Source organism: Homo sapiens, chromosome 1 (assembly GCF_000001405.40).
Source record: "Homo sapiens chromosome 1, GRCh38.p14 Primary Assembly".
NCBI lineage: Eukaryota > Metazoa > Chordata > Mammalia > Primates > Hominidae > Homo > Homo sapiens.
In genome coordinates this window covers 114,633,766-114,660,182 of record NC_000001.11, presented here as the reverse complement: position 1 = coordinate 114,660,182, position 26,417 = coordinate 114,633,766, and the positions used below count along the sequence as shown (strand labels likewise).

Here is a 26,417-nt window from a genome sequence, read left to right as displayed (position 1 = left end):
CTATTTACTATATCACATTGGAGTTTGATAGTTGAGATAAGGAGCTAAGCAGATTTTATGAATCCAGAATTTTTCTAGCTGAGAGGCAATCTCAGTCAGGCATGGTGGCTCATGCCTTTAATCCCAGCACTTGGAAGGCTGAGGCTGGAGTATCACTTGAGCCCATGAGTTTGAGACCAGCCTAGGCAACATGGCGAAACCCAGTCTTTACTAAAAATAAAAAAATTAGCCAGGCGTGGTGATGTGTTCCTGTGGTCTTAGCTATCCGGGAGATTGAGGTAGAAGGATCGCGTAAGCCCAAAGAGTGAGGCTACAGTGAGTTGCAATTATGCCAGTGCACTGCATCCTGGGCAAGAGGATAAGACCTTGGGAAGGAAGGAAGGGAGGGAGGGAGGGAGGGAAGGAAGGAAGGAAGACGGAGGGAGGGAAGGAAGAAAGGAAAGGAAAAAGGAAAGGAAAGGAAAGGAATCTCTTGGGCAGATATTTTTCAATATTTTAGAATAACAAAATTTGCAAAGTTGCTGCTTTTGGCAGTCTAGTGAACTACCTTTGAAGCTATATGCTGAAGGGTTCCAAAAGACATTGTTATGACAAATGACACTTGGTACTATTGTCTATATCTGGCTACTGTATCTTTCAAGCATCACTACTGCACTTTTTTTGTTTTGTTTTGTTTTGTTTGAGACAGAGTCTAGCTCTGTAGCTCAGGCTGGAGTGCAGTGGTGGGATCTCCGCTCACTGCAACCTCTGCCTCCTGGGTTCAAGTGATTCTCCTGCCTCAGCTTCCAAAGTAGCTGGGACTACAGGTGCCGGCCACCATGCCTGGCTAATTTTTTGTATTTTTAGTAGAGACAGGGTTTCGCCGTGTTGACCAGGCTGGTCTCGAACTCCTGACCGCAAGTGATCCACCCGCCTCTACCTCCCAAAGTGCTGGGGTTATAGGCGTGAGTCACCGCGCCTGGCCACTACTGCATCTTGAACATGGCATTATCAGTGAAGAAAGTTTGAACAAAATAAAATATAGAGAGATTGTTAGTTCTTATTACTATTACCAGACTTTCAGTTGTTATTTTCCTGAAGAGAAACCTGAAACATTAAAGAAAAATATTTGGCCAAGAGATTCATTTGTGCCCTATCACATCAATACACTTGATCTTAGCCAGAAGACTGAGAAGCGATGCATCACATCAATAACTGAGTTTAATGTGCACTCCAAAAAGAGAATGAATTCTTGCAGCTTAGTTCTTCTTTTAGTTTGAAGAATGATTAAGTGACATTGCTTATCATCATTTAAAAAATTTTAAAAACAGAGACAGGGTCTCACTATGTTGCTCAGGCTGGTCTTGAACTTCTGGGCTCAAGCAATCCTCCTCTGCCTAAGTTATCATTTTGTATTAAGACTAAAGAACTGTTGCAAAGTAGTACTGCCATTCTTTTGACCCTCTTGTGAGTCGTAGCACCTTTCTTCCATCAGACTTTCTCCTCCCTCTTCCATGTATTTATTATATCTTTCATTATTTTTTGCTGCAGTTTTAAAAAATATCGATTTTCCCCAACTTTAAAATGTTTCATTTGAAGTTGCATCTTCTTTTTGTTTTTATTATCCCTCTTACTGAGTTTCAAATAAATGTTGTCTTCATACTTTGTCCATTTCCTCACTAATTTTCTTTTTAATTTTTGCTGTTATCTGCCTTCACCATCCTTTAGAAACCATTTATTTAATGCCCTCTTACCAAATGCAAGGATCGTTTCTCAGTTTTTATTCTCCTTACTTGTATGACACTGGTTTGCATCTTTCTTTTCTTTTTAGAATTTTTTCCTCTCATGATGTTATCCTGGTTTTGTTACCTCTCACCAGTCTTTCTCCCACTCTTTATCTGATGCTTTTTCTTCTTATCTATGGTCCCTAATCATGATGAATATTCTCAAAGGTTTTTTTCATAACTCTGAAAACTCTCTGCTTAGGGAACCTGTGTATTCTTGCACCTTTTCTCCTCACACTTCCTATTTTAAACCTTCTTCCTTCTCCTTAAACCTTTGGCTTTTCTGTCTCTCACTTTACTCTCAGCAGATAACTGTGGCTGTTAAAATAGAAAATAGAAGCCATCAGATGGAAAGTTCATCAGTGTATAGCCCCTAAACCTGGAAATTTACCTGCACTCTTATCTTTCTTTTATCATTTACCTTCAGTTCCAGTGGAAGACCTGTCCCTCTTCCTGGCAGATGCTGATAATCTTTCCGGTCCCATTGGAGGCCCATGCTCTCTCTCCTTCTTTAGGTCTTTGCTTTATACCCTTGTTTCTTTTCTTCTCTCCTCTTTAGCGACTCCTTCCCACTGGTGTTTGAACAAGATTAAACTTGTATAAGAAACAAGTTTAGAAAGATTTCCTGGACTTCACGTTCCTGTCCAGCTCCACTCTATTGTCTATTCGTCTATTTGGATAAACTCCTTGAATGGATTGTCTACAGTTGATATTTGCATTCTTTTTTCTCATCCAATTCTCAATTCACTTATTTTCCTTCAGCCTCCATGCCACTGAACCTGCTCTTGTCCAAGTCCTAATGACCAACAGACACTGCAGTTTTTATCTTACTTGACCTTTTGACAATGTATCTGTCAATTGTTGACCACTCTTTCCTTCTTGATAGAGTCTCTTCCTTTGGCTTCCATGATTCCACACATTGATAGTACTTCTACCATCTTTTGTCTACTTTCGTGACTTAAACTGCCATCTGTGATACATGAGGACTTACCTAAAATGTCTGAGAACTGACTTACGCTTGATTACCAATGTTTTGGAGTTTATAAAGCTCAATTCTAACAGAACATGATGATGTATAAAAATAATCTTAAAAAATAAAATATGATGGTACAGTAATAAAGTAAAAATAAATATGGTACGATAAGAAACAAACAAACAAACAAAAGAAAAAAATGAGTTTGAAAAGTTGACATGGAAACCACAGTGAGATGCTACTACATACCAGAATGGCTAAAATTAAAAAGACTAACAATTCCAGTATGACTGAGGAGTGACTGCAACCTCATATATTGCTGGTGAGAGTGTAAATTAGTACAGCCTCTTTGGAAAACTCTGGCAGTGTCCACTTAAGTTAAACATATGCCTACTTGGCCAGGTGCGGTGGCTCAGGCCTGTAATCCCAGCACTTTGGGAGGCCAAGGTGGGCAGATCACCTGAGGTCAGGAGTTCGAGACCAGCCTGGCCAACATGGGGAAACCCCATCCCTACTAAAATACAAAAGTTAGCCAGGTGTGGTGGCATGCACCTGTAGTCCCAGCTACTCAGGAGGCTGAGGCAGGAGAATTGCTTGAACCCAGGAGGTGGAGGTTGCAGTGAGCCAAGACTGCACCACTGCGTTCCAGCCCCAGAACATATGCCTATTCTATAACCCAGCAATTCTACTCCTAGATAATACCCAAAAGAAGTGTGATTGTGTCTATCAAAGATACATATAAGAATGTTTAGGCCGGGTGCGGCGGCTCATGCCTGTAATCCCAGCACTTTGGGAGGCCGAGGCAGGCAGATCACAAGGTCAGGAGATCGAGACCATCCTGGCCAACACGGTGAAACTACGTCTCTACTAAAAATACAAAAAATGAGCTGGGCGTGGTGGTGCATGCCTGTAGTCCCAGCTACTTGAGAGGCTGAGGCAGGAGAATCGCTTGATCCCAGGAGGCAGAGGTTACAGTGAGCCGAGATCGCACCACTGCACTCCAGCCTGGCAACTGAGCAAGACTCTGTCTCAAAAAAAAAAAAAAGAAAGAAAGAAAAAGAATGTTTATAACAGGCTGAACATAGTGGCTCTCTTCTGTAATCCCAGCACTTTGGGAGCCTGAAGCAGGAGGATCGCTTGAGGCCAGGAGTTTAAGACCAGCTTGGACAACATAGTAAGACCCCATTTCTACAAAAAAAGTTTTTAAACAATTAGCCAGGCATGGTGGCACACACCTGTGGTCCCAGATACTTGGGAAGCTGAGGTGGGAGGATCACTTTAAGCCCAGGTGGTTGAGTTGGCAGTGAGCCGTGATTGTACCATTGCACTCCAGCCTGGATGACAGAGCAAGACCCCCATCTCCGAAAAAAAAGAAAAAAATTGTTTAGAACAGCTTTCTTCGTAATAACCAAAACCTGGAAACAGTCCACATATCAGTCAACAGGAGAATGGATAAATAAATACTGGCATTACCATTAAATGAAATAGTATACAGAAACGAAGAAAAACCGACTGCTATATGCAACAATATGACTGACATACATATTATATATATATATATATTTATACATATATATATAAAAGTTCTTTGAGCTGTACATGTAAGATTAGTGGACTTTATGTGCTTTATGTATGTTACATTTTAAAACATTTACAGGCTTTGGGCTGGGCACAGTGGCTCATGCCTATAATCCCAGCACTTTGGGAGGCCGAGGTGGGTGGATCACCTGAGGTCAGGAGTTCAAGACCAGCCTAGCCAACATGGCAAAACCCCGTCTTTCCTGAAAATACAAAGATTAGCTGGGCATGGTGGTGGGCGCCTGTAATCCCAGCTACTCGGGAGGCTGAGGCAGAAGAATCACTTGAACCCGGGAGATGGAAGTTGCAGTGAGCCGAGATCACACCACTGCACTCCAGCCTGGGCAACAGAGCGAGACTCCATCTCAAACAACAACAAAAAAATTTTTTATAGGTTTTTGAAAACACTTGGTGCATCATAGGTGCTTCATAAATAATTTGTTGCTGATGTTCCATTTGCCAGGAATGCGCTCTTAGTTTTGTTCATTTTGTAGATGACTTCTCATCTATCAATAATCTCATTTAGTAATAAACTGCCTTTAATCATATATAAATGTCCTGTGAGTGTGCTTATATTTTATTTTGATGCATATAATTTTCTAATGGGACACAGAGTGTGTAGTGAAAGGTATATAGACAGCTTTCAAATTATGCTCTGCCATTTAACCATTTGATTCTGTACCTCTGTTTTCTGTGTGCAAATGAGGATAATAATACCTGCTTGTGGCAGAGATTTTTTGCCTAATCTAATATCCATTCTTCTAAGTAATAGAACTCAGTAGTTTACCTGAGGCACATTGCAGGATAAAATGATTAAAGATTATATTTCCCAGCCTGGCTTGCAGTTTGTACATGTGACTTAAGTCCTGGTCAATAAGCCATAGCAAAAGTGTTATATGGGACTTCCAGGAAGGCTGCTTAAATAGAGCGTTTTTCCTTTTTGCTTCCTGGAATGTGGATGTAATAGCTGGAGCTCCGTGTGTGAACTATGAAGTGATCTTGAAGACAGAATCCATATGTTGAGGGTGGCATAGCAGAAATATAGGCACCTGGGGACCTGATGACATCTTAGACTGCCTACTTTGTCTTTTTTTTTTTTTTTTTTAGGTGGCAGAGAAACAAACATCGGTATTGCTTAAACCACTTGCTATTTCCAGTTCCGGCTGTATGTACCAAAACTTAATCTTATATAGTACCCCAAAGAGGTGCTATGAAAATTAATTGTGATAGTGTGATTGAAGTGATTGGCACATAGTATTTAACAAAATATTTAATGAAGTGTAATCACTGTTCTTGCTGTTTTAATTCTCACAATACTCTGTATGAAGTGGGTGTTCAATAAGTATTTGATGAATCTTTAAAAAGTAAGTTATCTCCTTTTGAAACAAATGCTATAAAAGTGATTTATGCTTATTTTTATTTATTTATTTTTTTGAGACGGCTGTCTCCCAGGCTGTCGCCCAGGCTGGAGTGCAGTGGCGTGATCTTGGCTCACTGCAAGCTCTGCCTCCCGGGTTCATGCCATTCCCCTGCCTCAGCCTCCTGAGTAGCTGGGACTACAGGTGCCCACCACCACGCCCGGCTAATTATTTGTATTTTTAGTAGAGACAGGGTTTCACCATGTTAGCCAGGATGGTCTTGATCTCCTGACTTCGTGATCCACCCACCTCAGCCTCCCAAAGGGCTGAGATTACAGGCATGAGCCACCGTGTCTGGCCTGTTTATTTTTTATAATTAGAAAATACAGATAAACCAAAAGAAAATTCAACCATAGTTACATCACCCAGAGATAATCATTGTTAGCTTTTTGGTGCGTATCCATATTAACTATAAATTCTATTTATTCTTACAGATTAAAGTTAATTTATATTACACAACCTTTTATAACATTCATTTACTTAATAGATCTTGATCATGTTACAACTTCATCGTATTTCAGAGTATGGCTTTACCATGGTACATTTAATCATCACCTATTGGAAATTTATTCTCAGTTATATAATATTCTAAATCTCCTCTTGTACATATATCTTTGTCAATTTGTCTACTTAATTCATTAGGATAAATTATTGGAAGTGATATCTCTGCATCATCATATGTGTTCATTTTTAAAAAACATTTACTAGGGTTTTACTTAATATAGAAAAATACAACAAATACCACTTAAAAGGTCCATTATTCCACCATTCAGATCCTGTTATAACATTTAAAAACAACAAAAAACACAAAACGTTTAATCATTATAAAAAGTTATAAAATAAAAAGTAAATAACTTGTTTCCCTACCCCAAGTTCTCTCACTGGTACCATTGTTGACAATTTCTTGCATAACCACCGTAATTTAATAAATGGGGACCAAAAAATTCAATCTTATAAAAATCTTGAGTCTTGTTATAAGGATAATGAAAAAACATTTTAAAAATATGGTTTGATATTAATAGTATAAAAAGTACTAATAGGAGGCTGGGCGCAGTGGCTCACACCTGTAATCCCAGCACTTGGGGAGGCTGAGGCAGGCGGATTGCTTGAGTTAAGGAGTTCAAGACCAGCCTGGGTAACATGATGAAACCCGATCTCTACTAAAAACATACCAGAATTAGCCGTGTGGTGGTGCACACCTGTAATCCCAGTAACTCGGGTGGCTGAGGCAAGAGAATCGATTGAACCCAGGAGGCAGAGGCTGCAGTGAGCCAAGATTGCACCACTGCACTCCAGCCTGGTCGACAAAGTGAGACTCTGTCTCAAAAAAAAAAGTACCAATGTGAAGTTAAAAAAAACTTTATTGGTACAACTGATCATATACAGTCAGCTTTCTGTATCCATGGATTTTGCACCTGTGGATACAACCAATCACGGATCGAAAAGATTCAGAAAAAACTGGATGGTTGCATCTGTACTGAACACGTATGGACTTTTTTTTGCTTGTCACTGTTCCCTAAGCAATACAGTATAATAGTAATTTACATAGCATTTACGTTGCATTAGGTATTATAAGTAATCTCGAGATTATTTAAAGCATGTGGGAGATAGAGCCAGGCATGGGGCCTGTAGTCCCAGCTACTTGGGAGGCTGAGGTGGGACAATCACTTGAGCCCGGGAGTTCAAGGCTGTAGTGCACCATGATTGTGTCTGTGAATAGCCACTACACTTCAGGTTGGGCAATGAGGAGACTCTGCCTCTTTAAAAAAAAAAAAAAAAAAAAAAAAAAGTAAATGTAAGGCTATAAGTTGTAAGTAGGTTTTATGATGCAAATTCGACACCATTTTATATAAGAGACTTCAGCCTTTATGGGTTTTGGTATCCGAAGGAGGTCCTGGAACCAATCCCCACACATACCAAGGGATTACTATACTGAATTGAAAAAGTTCAAATGGTCAGAAAATGATTGCTTCCTAACTACCCATCTCCTACAATTTGAGGAAGAGAACTATAGCCTGCCCACCCCCCATTTGAGAAAAGGGGGCTGGACAGAGAATAAGAGTCAATTGTGTAACTTTCAAATTCACATTATTGCAGTGCATGTGTGAGGGGAGGGCTTGTATATAGATGTATGTATAGCAGGTATATAGATATATGTATATCCTTTTTAAAAAGTGTATTGAAAATTGTTTTTCCACTTGCTTTTCCCCACTTTTATTTTGGACATCTTTGCATATCTGCATACAGATCTCTACCTCATCCTTTTTAATAGTTGCATAGCATTCAGTCAGGGTGCTGTGTTTGATTGGGTAGTTTGTGCATTACACACAGGCATCCAGCCAAGGAGCTGAAATCAAGCCCAAGGTCCACTTGCCAATACTCTGTGCCAGTCGGCTCCCTCCTAGGATGCTTTCCTCACCTTGTCCTGACTCTTACAACCCCGCACCAGGCCATCTATCAGCCTGGATACCCTCCTCATTCTGCTGAAGCTCTAACATCCCATGCTGGGCTACCCCTCTGTGGGACTGCACTCCTTACCTTGTTTAGGCTCTGATACTTCCACAGTAGGCAGCCCTCCTACACAGATGCTCTCCTTACCTTGCTCCTTAGCATGAGGCAAGTGTGCCTGCCTTACTTACTCTGCTTTGCCTAATTAGGGCCAAATTGTTCAGGAAGAAGAGTTGGAAATAACTTTTCCTTTTTCTTTCTTTTTTGAGTCAAAATCTCACTCTGTCACCCAGGCTAGAGTGCAGTGGCGTGATCTCAGCTCTGCAGGATCCGCCTCCCAACTTCAAGTCATTCTCCTGCCTCAGCCTCCCAAGTAGCTGGGATTATAGGCACATGCCACCATGCCCAGCTAATTTTTGTATTTTTAGTAGAGATGGGGTTTCACCATGTTGGCCAGGCTGGTCTCGAACTCCTGACCTCAGGTGATCTGCCCACCTCAGCCTCCCAAAGTGCTGGGATTACAGGCACTTTTTACTTTTATTTTTTATTTTTAGGGACAGTCTTGCTCCATTGCCCAGGCTGGAGTGCAGTGGTGCAATCATGGCTCACTGTAGCCTCCAGCTCCTGGGCTCAAGTGATCCACCTGCCTTAGCCTCCTGAGTATCTGGGACTACAGGCACATGTTTCATACTTGGCGTGTGTGTGTGTGTGTGTGTGTGTGTGTGTATGTGTAGGGAAGGTCTCACTGTGTTGCCCAGGCTGGTCTCAAACTCTTAGCCTCAAGTGATCCTCCTGCCTTGGCCTCCCAAAGTGCTGGGTTTACAGGTGTAAGCCACCATGCCTAGCCCTTACTATGTTTTGTTGTTGGTTTTGTTTTGTTTTGTTTTGAGATGGAGTCTCGAGTCTCACTGTGTCGCCCAGGCTGGAGTGCAGCAGCACGATCTCGGCTCACTGCAACCTCCACCTCCTGAGTTCAAGTGATTCTCCTGCCTCAGCCTCCCAAGTAGCTGGGACTACAGGCGCTTGCCACCACACCCAGCTAATGCCCTTACTGTGTTTTAAATGGCACTGTGAAGGATACGAGATGTATTTAATGTCCATGTTACTGCAGTTTTACTTTTGTTGCTCTTTTATTGTCAAATGAGATAAAATATGCAAAGGATATATAATTTTGTAATGTCATTTGAAAATTTGAGAAATACATCTTCTGGATTTTAAGCTTTAGAATGAAATAGAAAGTTACATTGTACAATTGTTATGAATGTGTGTTTCTTAAGAAAGCCTGTTATGTCTGTAGTCTGAAATTCTTTTTTTTTTTTTTTTTTTTTTGAGACGGAGTCTCGCTCTGTCGCCCAGGCTGGAGTGCAGTGGCGCAATCTCAGCTCACTGCAAGCTCCACCTCCTGGGTTTGCGCCATTCTCCTGCCTCAGCCTCCTGAGTAGCTGGGACTACAGGCGCCCGCCACTATGCCTGGCTAAATTTTTTTTTTTTTTTGTATTTTTAGTAGAGACAGCATTTCACTGCATTAGCCAGGATGGTCTCGATCTCCTGACCTCGTGATCCATCCGCCTCGGCCTCCCAAAGTGCTGGGATTACAGGCGTGAGCCACCGCACCCAGCCATAGTCTGAAATTCTTGAAAATTGCTGAAATTCTTGAAAATTGCATCTTTTTTTTTTTTAAGACAGAATTTCGCTCTTATTGCCCAGGTTGGCGTGCAATGGCATGATCTCAGCCCACTGCAACCTCCGCCTCCTGGGTTCAAGCGATTCTCCTGCCTCAGCCTCCTGAGTAACTGGGATTACAGGCGTGCAACACCACGCCTGGCTAATTTTTTATATTTTTAGTAGAAACAGGGTTTCACCACGTTAGCCAGGCTGGTCTTGAACTCCTCACCTCAGGTGATCCACCCACCTCGGCCTCCCAAAGTGCTGGGATTACAGGCATGAGCCACCGAGTCTGGCCAAAATTGCATCATTTTATATAACTCTGAATGAAAAAAAGCAGGATACAATTATGTATACACTGTAATTGCATCTGTATAAAAATGTGCTTAAAAAACAGAAGATACACCAAAATGTCCCAGTGACCATGTTGGAGGTAGTAGACTTACGGGTATTTTTCTCCTGTTTCCTCTATTTTCAAAATTTCTGAAAAGTAGTAGTATTACTTTGTGACTTTTAAAACTTTTTTTTATTGCTTCTTTTTAGCTTTTGGAAAATTTCTTCAACCTTTGAATACTTTAGTAATGATTTTGCTGCCTTTATTTTTCAGTGTCTTGCTAAGAATTTACCAAGTCTGAATTTGTGGTTTAAAAACTAGGTTTTATTGTCCAGGCGTATTGGCTCAAAATTTATAATACCAACACTTTGGAAAGCTGAGGCAGGAGGATTGAGCCCAAGAGTTCAAGACCAGCCCTGGCAACACAGCGAGACCCTGTCTCTATTTAAAAAAAAATTAAAAATTAGCCAGATGTGGTGGGATGCTCTGTATTCCCAGCTACTTGGGAGGCAGAGGCAGGAGAATTGCTTGAGCCCAGGGAGTCAAGGCTGCAGTAAACTATGATCACACCGTGCCTCTGGGCAACAGAGTGAGACCGATCTCAAAAACAAAACAAAACAAAAACACTAGGAAAACACTAGGTTACATTAAAGTTGTTTTGAAGCAATTTGTGTAGCTGAAAAGTTCTAGTTTGGGACAGTTATTTTTTACTTTGAAGGGGATTTTTAAAAGGATAATTAAGTGAAAAGTGCCGGGTGCAATGGCTCACACCTGTAATCCCAGCATTTTGGGAGGCCAAGGCGGGCTGATTACTTGAGGTCAGGAGTTTGAGATCAGCCTGGTCAACATGCTGAAACCCTGTCTCTACTAAAAATACAAAAATTAGTCAGGCATGGTGGCAGGCGCCTGTAATCCCAGCTACTCGGGAGGCTGAGGCAGGAGAATCATTTGAACCTGGGAGGTGGATGTTGCAGTGAGCCAAGATCACGTCACTGCACTCTAGCCTGGGCGACAAGAGTGAGACTCTGTCTCAAAAAAAAAAAAGGATAATTATGTGAAAAGAGACATTTTATTTAATTATATGGACAGTTAATAACATTGCATTAATATAATTAAATTCTAAAAGCTTAATGTTATTAAAGTTAGTTTTACGTGCCATTTTCCACACTGTGGCATTTTGTAGAACTTCTGCTGAAATTTCTCATTTGACTGTTGTGCCTGAGTGGTCTTTAAAATTTAGCTACATGTCAGCTCTTTTTATCCACCAGGTGGGAGTCAGATACCAGTCCCTGTGTCTCTGTACTTCCCTAAGTCTGGGGATATGCCTCAAGCACTTTGAGTGGTTGTCTTGAGGTTTCAGTCCCTGTCTTGAGGTAGGCAAGAGGTATATCCCTCTTTCCCTGTAGGAGGCAGGGAAACACACCACCTAGTTTCCTTAAAGAAGTCCTCTCTGTTGTCCCTTGTAATCCTCACAATTTAATAAATTGTAATTCTTCTCTTATACAGCCTTAAGGGTAGTGAACTAATGTCAGCAGAGCCAATTTTTGGCAACCTCACTTTCTAAGCCTTGCACTTTTCTTAGAATATGGGGGTATTCGACTCCTATTGTTTTGGTTTTGGCCTTTGAGGCCCTGCTGAAACTCGGAGAACACAGGAAAAGTTGCATTTGACATCCTGTTGCATTAGTTTATATTATTGTTATGTCTACCAACTAACAAGTAGTATAATATACAGTGGTTTAGTGCACAAACTTTGGAGTAAAGTAGAACTAGGTTTGTGTTAGTTTGGGTAATTAACCAGTTCAGCTTCAGCTTCCCCATTCACAAAATAATAAAACTTTCTACTATTGCAGGTAATAGTAACTATCTGTTAGGGTTGTTGTAAGAATTAAATGAAGGCCAGGCGCGGTGACTCACGCCTGTAATCCCAGCACTTTGGGAGGCCAAGGCGGGTGGATCACCTGAGGTCAGGAGTTTGAGACCAGCCTGGCCAACATGGTGAAACCATGCCTCTACTAAAAATACAAAAATTAGCTGCGCATGGTGGAGGGCACCTGTAATCTCAGCTACTCGGGAGGCTGAGGCAGGAGAATTGCTGGAACCTGGGAAGCAGAGTTTGCAGTGAGCCAAGATGGCGCCATTGCATTCTAGCCCTGGTGACAACAGTGAGACTGTCTCAAAAAAAAAAAGAGTTAAAAGTAGTAATGAAAGTAGATACATAGCATGGTGCCTGGCAAATGTAAACACTTAATAAGTAATAATTATTTAAAATATATGCTATACAGGTCAGGCGTAGTGGCTCACATCTGTAATCTCAGCACTTTGGGAGGCTGAGGCAGGCGAATCACTTGAGGTTAGGGGTCACAGACCAGCCTGGCCAACATGGCAAAACCCCGTCTCTACTAAAAATACAAAAATTAGCCAGACTTGGCAGTGCATTCCTTTCACAAACATTACCTAATGGTATAAAGAAGTGATTTAGAAGCCAACTAAATGGCTTGAGAAACCAGGAGAATATTAGAGACTATTGTCACCAGGTTGTACAATAGTGGATTATTGAACCCGAGAGGCAGAGGTTGCAGGGAGTCGAGATCACGCACCCAGCCTCGGTGACAGAGCAAGACTCTGTCTAAAAAAAAAAAAAATCACATTGTACTCCATAAACATACACAATTGGAATTGATCAGTTAAAAATAAAAATTAAAAAAGAAATAATTCTTCCTTCTTCTGAGTAAACAAAGGAAAGGGTTGTTTACATTATATATTCATACAACTTTTGGCCACCTGGTTATTTTAGCAGACCCCTGAATATTCTCTCTCTCTCTCTCTCTCTTTTTTTTTTTAAGATAGAATCTCACTCTTTTGCCCAGGCTGGAGTTCAGTGGTGCAATCTTGGCCCACTGCAACCTGTGTGCCTCCAGGGTTGAAGCAGTTCTCCTGCGTCAGCCCCCTGAGTAGCTGGGATTACAGGCATGCACCACCACGTCCAGCTTATTTTTGTATTTTTAGTAGAGACAGGGTTTCGCCATGTTGGCCAGGCTGGTCTCAAACTCCCGACCTCAGGTGATCCTCCCACCTCAGCCTCCCAAAGTGCTGGGATTACAGGCATGAGCTACCGTGCCTGCCCTAAATATTCTCTGTTTACCTAGGTGAAATGGTGAACATTAAAGCTAATGCATGTGTAAGTCAGAATACCTTATTATGGACTCATGATCTACCAGAGGTACACAAGATGGTACATTAGGATGTGAAAAAAGCATTAGAAATGCTACTTGTATTCATTTTCATCTAAAAATAAATTAAGCTTTTCTAAATATTTAATATACAGTTTGACACTGGTGCTTTCTCTGGATCAGACTTTATATAAGGAATGATCCCCAAGGGAAGAGTAGACATTCCCTCAAACAAAACGGAGTTGGCGGTGACATCCTCACTTGTTTGTGCACTTTTAGCTGTTGCAACATAGAGCAGTTCATATGTGTCCAAGTAGGTGGATTTACAGATTATATCTTAAATAATAGAATCATTATAATCCTTTGAAAATGAGAAGTGTCACAGTCATGAAAATATATCGCACACTAGTTTTTTGATTACGTTATGGAAAAGTATTTTTTAAAGTTGCAAAACTTAAAATGTCACACCATTTTCCTTTTCCAAAGAAAAGTGTTCTAAAATTGTTGATTTTCTGTAATGACAAGTGGTTGTCAGCAAAAAATTATCTTAAACATGTTCAGTGTGTCCCTACGAGGTAAACATGATGTTTTAACAATGAATAACAGGCCGGGCGCAGTGGCTCACACCTGTAATCCCAGCACTTTGGGAGGCTGAGGCAGGCGGATCACAAGGTCAGGAGATCGAGACCATCCTGGCTAACATGGTGAAACCCCGTCTCTACTAAAAATACAAAAAAATTAGCCGGGTGTGGTGGCGGGCGCCTGTAGTCCCAGCTATTCAGGAGGCTGAGGCAGGAGAATGGCGTGAACCCGGGAGGCAGAGCTTGCAGTGAGCCAAAACGGCGCCACTGCACTCCAGCCTGGGCGACAGAGCGAGACTCTGTCTCAAAAAAAAAAAAGAATGAGAAATTGTTTTTCTAAAGAAACATGATTTGCAGACAAAATTTGATATTTCATAATATATCAATTATTACTTAATGTTGCCCAAAACAAAGAATGTGTTATCTGTAAAGCTCTCCTATCTACACACTTAGATTTTGAATCAGTTTGTTAAAAATTTTTAAATGTTCAGTTAGTTTGAAAGTACAGATGATAAACATTAGAGAAGATGAAAATTTACTAGTCAAATTTCAACAAAAATCCTTGCTTAATTTAAGGTGAATAGAATTGACAAATAAGTATTCTGATTCAGTCAGTGAAGCTCTTCTTTCATTGTTTTCCATGTATTTGTGGTGAGTTATCTTTTTCTATTACTGTGGCCTTTTGTATTAGTTTGCTAGGTCTACCATAACCAAATACCGCAGATTGAGTGGTTCAAACGCCAGAGATTGATATTCTCACAAGTCTGGAGGCTGTAGAAATCTAACATCAAGGTGCCAACAGGGTAAGTTTCTTGTGAGGCCTGTTTCCTTGGCTCGTAGATAGCAGTCTTCTCCCTGTGTCTTCACATGGTCTCCCCTCTGTCTGTCTGTGTCTAGGTTTCCTCTTTTTTTCGAAGTACACCAGTCATTGGATTAAGGCCCACCCTACTGACCTCATTTTAACTTAATTACCTCTCAAGAGACCTGATCTCCAAATCCAGTCATATTCTGAGGTGCTGGGGGTTAGGACTTCAACATATGAATTTTCAGGGGACACGGTTCGATCTATAACACCCTTAGAACCAAGTATTGAAATAAACTGAGTTTTGGACTAAATCTTTGAATCACTGTATCAAAAAAAACCACGTTTAATCACATTGCTCTTACTCAAAATATTTGTAGTTAAACTTCAGTGAGAATGAAATGGTTACTATACCCTCCTTTTACATATTTAATTTTTACTAATTTAAACTAGTAAAATGATTTTTTAAATCTCATGCCTTTAAATTTTTAGTTTCAGTATGCTTTATAATGTTCATGATATTATTATAGTTTTATGTTTACAATTTATAAATAAATACATATAAATCAATTATTTTCTTCATTGGAGACCCCTGACTTAGATATTGCCCCTTCTCAAAATGTCTTTCTATCCTGAAGGTAGTATGTTATGTGCTATTAAATTATGCTTTTCAAATTGTAACAACGTATATGACCTTAGAAAGCCATCGAAACTTGCTAAACCTCAGTTTCCTCATCTAGAAAATGAAGATATCTTCCTCTAAGGATTGTTATGAGGATAGAATGAGATTATGCATGTAGTGCTTGGCAAATAGTAAATATACAAAAAACATTCTTATTGTGGTGTGAATTATTTAAATAAGTTATTTTGGTGTTACTCGTATTCTTAAACTATTCTAAGAAGCTTCCCCATTCTACAAATGGGGCAGCTTCAAATCATTGGAGGCACTTAAAGTAATAGGCACTGCAGATTTTTCGTAAGCCTTTTCCTTTTAAGCATTCTTATATTTAGGATTTTGTCATTCATTCAACAAATACTTACTGAGGGATTACTGTATGGTGCATACTCTTCTGGGTGCTGGGGATACAGTAGTAAAAAAGCTTATATTCCAGTGAGGGAGAGAAGTAAACAAATAAATAACACAATTTCAGATAAATGATAAGTTCTATGGAGAAAATATAGCAGAGTGAAGACATAGAAAATCATGTTGGAAAAGGAGCTTTATTTTAGATAGAATGAACACAGAAGGTGAAAATTGACTAGAAATAGAAAATGAGAGAGGAAGAAGTGATGGTGGCCTGGTTTGGTGTGTTAGCAGTAAAGATGATAAGTGGTGGGAATTTGATTTGTTTTAAAGGTGGAGTTAACAGGAATTACCATTGGATTAGTTATGGGGATAACACCTAGGGTCATGTAGCTGTGGCAAATAAACCCTCCAGTAGTACCCGTTACAATCAGTAAACAGCAAAGAAAAGGAATTGTAGTCATTTGGAAGGTTTTATGAATAGTGCGGATAACCAACCATGTAACACAATCATGAAATTAGCATTATTCTAAGTCTTTGGCTTATGCCTCAAAATTCTGAATATAATCTGCATATGTCAGCTATCATTTTTCATTCTTTCATTTTAAAAAACCTGAAAAAATTTCCATGACAAATATCTCAACAGACTTGATGGAACTGTTAAAGAATTAAATTTATTTTTTAAAGATTCTTACATATTTCTTGATTTACTAATAGGCACAGTAATGGCTTGAGAAATTTATATTATGTGTTATAAGCAATATTAGGAGTTTATTTAAAGTTTCTTTGTTATTTTGGGAACCATTTTTAGTTACTTATAAGGCTGTTTCCTCTGATAGGAGTGAGATAAAAGGCTGGTATCCTGTATGTGCTTGCTTTGAAGATTTGTTATTCAAGGAACAGTCAACAAGATGATAGAGGTTTGAAAAGTAGAAGCCTGTTTGACACTTTTTTTCCCTATTAGTCTGGTCCTTTATTATTTGTTTTAAAATATTTTTAGCCACATTTAATGAAGAATCTTATGCAAGATATATTCCTGTGGGCTTTATTAAAAATGTATTGAGGCTTTCGATTAAATAATGTGTTAATGTAATAGAAATTTGAAAAACCAAATAATGCGAACAGTGCAAGTTCCCACCCAACTTCCTGAGCAGAATTTATGTTGTTCATTTTTTTCCCTGACACAAGCCTTAGCATCCTCTGCTGTAACAAGTTCAGGAGTGACATTCTGAGATTGAGGTTTACTTTAAGTCTTCTAAGACAGCATTGCAGAAGCATTTACTTGTCACTATTCATACTACCTCCCCTTCAGTCTTATCCCTGACTTTCCTCTTTTTCTAAGTGTCTCCAGCAAGAATGAGTGTTAAGAGTCTTGAGGTCATGGCAAAGACATACACAGGTATTTGCTATAAGGCAAATTCAGAATTGTAAAAGTATAACAATATGCAAATAGGTGTAATAGAAGCACACAAAAGGAGTGATTAACTCTGGGGAAAGGGCTAAGGAAGCTTTCACGGAAAAACTTTCAACTGATCTTGAAAGTACATGGTGTATTCAGAGAGAAATTTATAGTACCTGTCATTTATTGAGCAGTTACTGTATTCCAGTCACTGTCTTAAACATTTTATTTACTTTATCTGATATTTAATCCTCACAACCTTATAAAATAAATATCTGTATCTGTTGTGCCAAAGGATGCTAAGACATGTATTTGTTACTTAACCTCTTGGTGCCTCATTGCCTTATCTGTAAAATGAGATTAACAGTAGTATCTACCTCATGGGGTTGTTACAAGAATTAGGTGAGTTAATATGGTTAAAGTTAGTAGAGCTATGCCTGGCTCATATTAAGTGCTCAGTAAGTATTATCTGTAAACATTGTGATCATTCTACAGATAAGAAAACAAGCTTAGAAGGGTTAATTGGACTAATGATTTACAACCAAGAACCAAATCTATGTTAGTGTTTGAATTCTAACTCGAACATTCTAACTTTGGACTGCTAATAGTTCCAGATTATTTGGCATTATTGGAAAATATGTAGCTGGTGAGTAAGGCAAGTGGCAAGAGTCAGAGCTTGAATTAGAGGGTGAAAGACCTTATATGTCATATTAAGGAGTATAGACTTTATCTTATCTCTTGCACACCATGAAATATTTACCTGCTTAATTTTATTAGCTGGGCGCGGTGGCTCACACCTGTAATCCTAGCACTTTGGGAGGCCGAGGCGGACGGATCACTTGAGACCAGGAGTTTGAGACCAGCCGGCCCAACAGGGTGAAACCCGTCTCTACCAAAAATACAAAAATTAGCTGGGCGTGGTGGCATATGCCTGTAATCCCAGCTACTTGGGAGGCTAAGGTAGGAGAACCACTTGAACCGGGAGGCAGAGGTTGCAGTGTGCTGAGATTGTGCCACTTCACTCCAGCCAAGGTGACAGAGCAAGACTCCATCTCAAAAAAATATATATATATACATATATGTGTGTATATATATGATATATACCGGAAACTAGTTTAGTGGCAAAATTATGATCTTATTTTTGTATGCATCATAAAAACACAAGTTTTGTGTACCTACGACATTTTAAAATAGGTTTAAAACTGTGCAGTTGGCTTTTCCCAATTGTTTCATAAGTATTTGTTGACTATTGTATTTGTCCATTGTGCGTTGCTATAAAGGATTACCTGAGGCTGGGTAATTTATAAAGAAAAGAGGTTTATTTGGCTTATGGTTCTTCAGGCTGGACAAGAAGCATGACCCTAGCATCTTCTTCTGGTGAGGCCTCAGGAAGGTTACAATCATGGTGGAAAGTGAAGGGGGAGGAGACGTGTCACATGGCAAGAGAGGGAGCAAGAGAGTTGAGAGGAGGTGCCAGGATCTTTCAAATAACCAGCTGTTGTGTTAACTAATAGAGCAAGAACTCACTTGTTACCTTAGGGAGGGCAGTTAGCCATTCATGAGGGATCCATCCCTGTGACACAAACACCTCCCACTCAACCCCACTTCCAACATTGGAGATCAGATTTCAGCATGAGATTTGGAGGGGACAAATATCCAAACTGTATCAGCTATATATTTGTTTTGCCATTATGTTAGTATTGCCTCTAATTGCTGAGTTCAAAGCGATTTTTTTTCTTTTTCTTTTCTTTTTTTTTTTTTTTTTGAGAAAGGATCTCGCTATGTTGCCCAGGCTGGTCTCTTGGGCTCAAGCAATTCTCCCACCTTGACCTCCCAACAGGTACTGGGATTACAGGCATGAGCTACCATGCCCGGCCAAAGTGATTTATTCTGTTCACCTAGGAATGGCTTTCCTACCTTCAGAGAATCTTCTTATCTCTTTCCTGCTCTCTAAAAAACAGATTTTAGAAAGATTTTTTTTTAAGGAAGCCAAACATAACAGGAACATATTCTCTCTTCAGAATTTCTGTGCATTGTCAAGCTAATAATAGCAATCAGTAAGCAATAAATTGAGACAAATTGAGACTAGTACACAGGCACTCAAACTATTAAATAGCTTTAATTAAAAAATCAAAGGCTGTTTGTTATTAAAATATCTGCATGTGTTTTACTCTTTAACAGCAGTTATTTATTATGTTAAAATTGTGTTTTGTGTTAAATTGTGATAAAACTTAAAAAAAATTTATGTTTTTGTGTATTTTTCCAGAGACTGACTTTGTTCTGTGTTGATGTGTAAAAGCCTTCGGGTTTCCGAACAGTTTCAGTGCATGAAGTTGATCTAGCTGTAGACTATTTTCTTTAAAGATTCGTGTCCTTGCATCTTTTCTCTGAACTCCTGCTTAGCACTGAAGTGGACCTTAATGTCTCTAGAACAGACGCTTTCCACAAGTTTCTGACCATACCCCACCATGGTCACACACACATGCACACACCTCTGAAACAAACATTTCTGAAGCAATACTTACATGCAGTGTACTCTGATGTATTCTATTCTACACTATCTTATTTCATTGATTATTTCAAGACTTCCATTTAGGATGTAGAAGGACATAAAAATACCTTTGCTCTGATAGTAACAAGAACAGTCTAGACAAAATAAAAATCATATATTTCTCTCGGGCTAGTGACTAGCAGTGGATGCAAATAAACTTTCATGAACTGATTTTCAAAGTAAAAATAGCCTCTCATAAATGAGCAGAGGGCCACAGGAACTTTTACACCTGGGACAAGCACATGATCTGGATTTAAGTAGCTCTGACATAGATGGTAAGACTTTATGGAGCCAAGGGAAAATCAGACAAGCCTTAGTTAATGGTGTAAATCGTTGAAATTGAAATGTAGATTGGAATCTGGAAGAATCTCAAATGGAAAAACAAACCATTTAGCCCAGGAATTATCTGCTGTGTCCTCTTTCTCCCAGCTTTTGCTACAAAAGCAGCATTGAAGGAGGACAGGAGAGATACAAAGAAATTGTGTAGTCCCACATATTATGCAGTCCCACATATTATGCAGTAATGCCCTGCCAGAGTTGATTACAGAGGTGAACCAAAACTATGTGAAACTGCAGCCATGCTCTTTCCAGCTTAATATTGATAGAATTAAAAAGGCAGTGGTGGCCAGGTAGTTCATGCCTGTAATTTCAGCACTTCAGATTGCTTGAACCAGGAGGCCGAAGTTGCAGTGAGCCGAGATCAAGCCATTGCACTCCAGCCTGGGCAACAAGAGCAAAACTCCATCTCAAAAAAAAAAAAAATTAATATAATGGATGAAGAGATGGAATATTTCAAAATACAGTTGGAATATGAAGAAAAAAAGAACCAAATAGAAAATTAAGAGCTGATAAATATAATAACTGAAATAAAAATTCTTTTTTTTTTTTTTTCAAGATGGAGTCTCCCTCCTGCTGCCCATGCTAGAGTGCAATGGCACAATCTCAGCTCACTGCAACCTCCACCTCATGGGTTCAAGCAATTCTCCTGCCTCAGCCTCCCAAATAGCTGGGATTATTACAGGCACCCACCACCAGTCTAGCTAATTTTTTGTATTTTTAGTAGAGGTGGGGTTTCACCATGTTGGCCAGGCTGGTCTCAAACTCCTGACCTCGTGATCTACCGGCCTCAGCCTCCCGAAGTGCTGAGATTACAAGCATGAGCCACCGCGCCTGGCCAAATGGCTTCATCATATAGCAATTATATGTTAAATTTTGTAAGAAACTGCTTTCCAAAGGGGTTGCACCATGTTACGCTAGCAATACTTGAGAGTTGCAGGTGCTCCAATCTTTTGTATTGTCATTCTTTTAAATTTTAGCCATTCTAGTGGGTGTGTAATTTTAGAATCTTGTGTTTTAATTTGCATGTTCTTGGTGACTCAGGATGGTGTGCATCTTTTCATGTGCTTTATTGTGCTTATTGGCTACTCATAAATCTTTTGTAAAGTGTTCAAATCTTACTCATATTTTAGTTGTGTTGTTTGACTTTTTAGGTGTAATAATTTTTTATTCTGGATTTAAGTCCTCATCAGATATATGTATGGCAGATATTTTTTCCCAGTCTGTGGCTTGCCATTTATTTCTTTGTTTCTTGCCAATTAAGTCAAGTTGATTGATAGTGATATTCAAGTCTTTATATATTTACTGATTTTCTGTCTATATATTCTTTCTTTTCTTTCTTTTTTTTTCTTTTTTCTCTTTTTTTTTTTTTTTTTGAGACAAGGTCTGGCTCTGTTGCCCAGGCTGGAGTGCAGTAGTGTAATCATCGCTCACTACATCCTTGACTTCCCAGGCTCAAGCAATCCTCCCACCTCAGCCTCCCAAGTAGCTGGGATTACAGACGCACAACGCCATGCCCGCCTAATTTTTTAAAAAATTTTTTGTAGAGACGGAGTTTTACTATGTTGCCAGGGCTGGTCTCAGATTCCTGGGCTCAAATGATCCTCCCACCTGGGCCCCCCAAAGTGCTGGGATTACAGGTGTGAGCCACTGCACCCAGCTCCATTTAATTTTTAAGCCAATGTCTTAAGTGAGCAGAAGGTTTTAATTTTGATGAAGTCCAATGTATCCATTCTTTTTCTTTATGGTTAATGTGTTTTGTGTCCTAAGACATCTTTTTCTTCCTCAAGGTCGTGAAGATTTTTTTCTTCCAGAAAGTTTGTGGTTTTAGCTCTTAGTAGTTAGGTTTATGATCTATTTCAACTTAAATTTTGTAAATGTTATGGGTAAAGGTTGAGGTTCATTTTTTTTTACAGATAGATACCTATTTGTTCTGATGCCATTTATTGAAAAGATTATTCTTTCCCCAGCTTTGTGGAAATCAATTGACTATATATATGTGGGTTCATTTCTGGACTCTGTGCTCTTCTGCTGATCCTTTTGTCTGTCCTGTCAACTAATATACATTGTTGTGATTACTTAGTTTTATAAGTCTTAAAATCAGGTAGTCTATGCCCTCCAGCTTTATTCTTCGTTTTGAAAATTATTTAGGCTAATCTAGATTCTTTGCCTTTCCTTATAAACTTGAAAATCAACTTGTCAATTTCTACAGCAAAACCTGCTGTGATTTTGTTGAATCTACAGATTCAACAATCTGGAGATTGTGTTGAATCTGTAGATCAATTTTGAGATAATTTTTTATAGTAACAAAGTTGAATATTCCTAGCCAGGCCCAGTGGTTCACGCCTGTAATCCTAGCACTTTGGGAGGCCAAGGCAGGCGGATCACTTGAGGCCAGGAGTTCAAGACCAGCCTGGGCAACATGGCAAAACCACATTTTAGTCTCTTCTAAAGATATAAAAATTAGCCAGGTGTGGTGGCATACACCTGCAGTCTTGGGAGGCTGAAGCACAAGAATTGCTTGAACCCGAGAGGTTGAGGCAGCAGTGAGCCGAGATCCCACCACTGCACTCCAACCTGGGCGACAGAGCAAGACTCTGTCTCAACAAAAAAAAAAATCTTGAATATTCCAGTACATTAATGTGTAATATCTGTGTATGTAGTTATTCTTTATTTTTTACTCCACATTAGCTTGTGGTTTTCAGTCTACACATCTTGAATCCCTAAGTATTTCTTTTTCTTTTCTTTTCTTTTTTTTTTTTTTTTTTTGAGACAGAGTCTTGCTCTGTTGCCCAGTCTAGAGTTACAGTAGCACGATCTTGGCTCACTACAGCCTCCACCTCCTGGGTTCAAGCGATTCCTGTGCCTCAGCCTCCTGAGTAGCTGGGACTACAGCTACTCCTACCACTTTGGGAGGCTAAGACAGGCGGATCACTTGAGGCCAGGAGTTCAAGACCAGCCTGGGCAACATGGCAAAACCACATTTTAGTCTCTTTTAGCATGCACCACCACGCCTAGCTAAGGTTTTTTTTTGTATTTTTGTTTTGTTTTGTTTTAGTAAAGACAGGGTTTAACCATATTGCCCAGGCTGGTCTCGAACTCCTGACCTCAAGTGATCTGCCTGCCTTGACCTCCCAAAGTGCTGGGATTACAGTTGTGAGCCACCATACCTGGCCAATGTTTCATGTTTTTATGCTGTTGTACCTGTTATTTTGAATTTCATTTTCCAATCGTTTATTCTTAGTATATAGAGGCACAGTTAATTCTTCTATACTGACCATGTGTTCTGAGACCTTGCTAAATTCTCTTATGAATTCTCATATCTTGTAACATAGATTTCTTAGGAATTCCTACATTTACAATCATATTGTTTGCAGGAAAAAAAAAACAGCTTTACTTCTTTTACAATCTCTATGCCTTTTACTTAGTTTTTCTTGCCTTATTCATTATGTTTTTTTTGTTGCTGTTGTTTGAGACAGGGTTTCACTCTGTCACCCAGGCTGGAATGACGAGATCTGCTCACTGCAGCCTCGACCTCTCAGACTGAAGCAGTCCTCCCCCCATTCCCACCTTAATCTCCCAAGTAGCTGTGACTGCAGGCACGCACCACCATGCCTGGCTAATTTTGGTATTTTTTGTAGAGACTGGATTCACCACTTTGCCCACGATGGTCTTGAACTCCTGAGCTCAAGCCATCTGTCCTCCTTGGCCTCCCAAAGTGTTAGGATTACAGGCATGAGCCACTGCACCTGGCCTTTGTAAACTTCTTTTACAATGTTGAATAAAAGTGGTAAGAGGAGACATCCTTGCCTTTTTCCCATTCTTAAGGAAAAAGTATTTGGTCTTTACCACTTATTGTGATATCAGCAGTGGGTTTTTTTATTTATAGATACTTTATCAGATTGTGGAAATTCTCTTCTATTTCCGATTTGCTGAAAGTGTAAATTTTTTCAAATGCTTTTTCTTCATCTATTAAGATAAATACATAGTTTTCTTTATCCCATAAACATGGTGACTTTTAATGTTAAAGCAACCTTGCATTCTGGTATCCTTTCTGTATATTTATTTATGAGTTTGATTTGCTTATATATATATTATATATTTTTATATGTTTTATTTATTTATTTATTTTTGAGATGGAGTCTTGCTCTGTTGCCCAGGTTGGAGTGCAGAGGCGTGATCTTGGCTCAATGCAACCTCCACCACCTGGGTTCAAGCAATCCTCCTACCTCAGTCTTTCAAGAAACTGGGATTATAGGTGCACGCCACTATGCCTGGCTACTTTTTATATTTTTAGTAGAGACCGGTTTCACCATGTTCCCTAGGCTGGTCTCGAACTCCTAACCTCAAGTGATCTGCCCTCCTCAGCCTCCCAAATTGTTGGGATTACAGGTGTGAGTGATCGCGCCCAGTGGACTTACTAATATTTTAGAGGGACTTTTGCATTTATGTTCATGAGTTATATTATTCTGTATTTTTCTTTTCTAAGTTTTTTGCCCAGTTACCTGGTAAGGTAATGCTGGTCTCATAAAATGAGTTGAAATTGTTTCTACTTCCTCTGTTTTCTGAATGAGTTTGTATATGATTGGTATTATTTCTTTTTCTTCTCCTATTTTTTGTTAAGAGACGGTCTTGCTCTGTCACCCAGGCTGGAATGCAGTGGTGCAATCATAGCCCACTGCAGCCTGAGACTCTTTTTTTGTTCGCTTTGCCTAGAGATCTGTCAATTTACTAATGTTTTCAAAGAAGCAGTTTTTTGTTTCATTGATTTTTATCCTATGTTCATCTATTTCATTAATACTCATTTTTTATTTTCCTCCAGTTTCTTTGGGTTTATGCTTTTTTTCTTCTTAAGGGAGAACTTTAAATATTGATCTTTTTAAAGATATTATTAGGTGGAATGATGACACTCAAATTTCAGTATAGAATGTTGAAGACCACAATGTTGAAAAGGTTGGTACATTTTATGCAGGATTAGCAATGGGACAATTTAAACAAATGTTAAGGTAGAGCACCTAACCTAGAGAGAAATTTAAAATAGTAATTTGAAACTTTTATGAGGTAAAGTGTGTTCCAGTTTTTTTCTTTTTTTTCTTTTTTTTTTTTTTTTTTAGACGGAGTCTCACTCTATCACTCAGGCTGGAGTGCAGTGGCATGATCTCGGCTCACTGCAACCTCCGCCTCCCAGGTTCAAGCGATTCTCGTGCCTCAGCCTCCCCAGTAGCTGGGATTACAGGTGCATGACACCTCGCCTGGCTAATTTTTGTATTTTTAATAGAGGCAGGGTTTTGCCATGTTTGCCAGGCTGGTGTTGAACTCCTAACTTCAGATGATCTGCTCGCCTCGGCCTCCCAAAGTGCTGGGATTACAGGCTTGAGCCACCATGCCCGGCCGTGTTCCAGTTTCAAATATCAAGAAGTAGTATCCTCACTTATTGTTTTTAAACTTTTTTATTTTAAAAGATTTGTTTCCAAATAATTTGGGATTTTCCAGATATCTTTTTGTTACTGATTTCTCTTTCAGTTCCATTTTGGGCTAGAGAACATTCTCAGTATGATGTCAGTCTTTTAAAATTTATTGAGTCTTATTTTATGGCCCAACATATGGTCTATTGGTGAATGTTTCATGCACACTTGAAAAGAGTATTTTTGGTGGCACGCGTCTATAGTCCCAGCTACTCAGGAGGCTGAGGCAGGAGGATTGCTTGAACCCAGGAGGCGGAGGCTGCAGTGAGCCGAGATTGTGCCAGTGCACTCCAGCCTGGGCAACAGAGTGAGACTCTGTCTCAAAAAAATAAAAAAAAGAAAGAAAAGAGTATGTACTTTATGTTTGTTGAGTAAAGTGTTCTAAAATGTCAATTAAGTCAAGTTGATTGATAGTGATATTGAAATCTTTTATATATTTACTGATTTTCTGTCTATATGTTTTATCAACTACTGTTGAAAAGTTAAAATCCCCAACTAAAATTGTGGATTTGTCCATTTGGCTTTTTAGTTCTGATATTTTCTTGCTTCTTACATTTTTGAAACTCTTATTAGGTGCATGAACATTAGGATTGCTAGGTATTCTTGATGAATTGCACCTATTACCTTCTTTGTAATGTCCTTCTTTATCACTGCTGTTATTTCTTGCTCAGGAGTCTACCTTGTCTGATATTAACATAGACAATCCAGCTTTCTTATGATAGTGTTTACTGTTTATGTCTCTTTAACAGATCTATCTCTTTGTATTCAAAGTGCATTTTTTTATGAACAGCATAGAGTTAGGTCTTGCTTTTTAAATTAAGTTTGATAATCTTTGCCTTGTACTTAGAGCTTAACCCATTTATATACAGTATAATTATTGATATAGTCAAATTTAAGTGTACCATCTT

General features: G+C 39.3%; 1 protein-coding gene across 2 annotated transcripts in view; it reads left to right on the top strand.

Moving 5' to 3' along the window:
- Positions 1 to 26,417, top strand: part of DENND2C (DENN domain containing 2C) — an 87,200-nt gene that overhangs the window by 9,867 nt on the left and 50,916 nt on the right. Inside the window, exons 2-3 of one of the 2 annotated variants that reach the window (NM_001256404.2) lie at positions 5,422 to 5,678; positions 14,624 to 14,735. The exons of the other annotated variant lie outside the window; for it this stretch is intronic. The gene's annotated coding sequence lies outside the window, so the exon portion shown is untranslated. The remainder of the gene's footprint in view (positions 1 to 5,421; positions 5,679 to 14,623; positions 14,736 to 26,417) is intronic. 2 annotated transcript variants of the gene reach the window in all.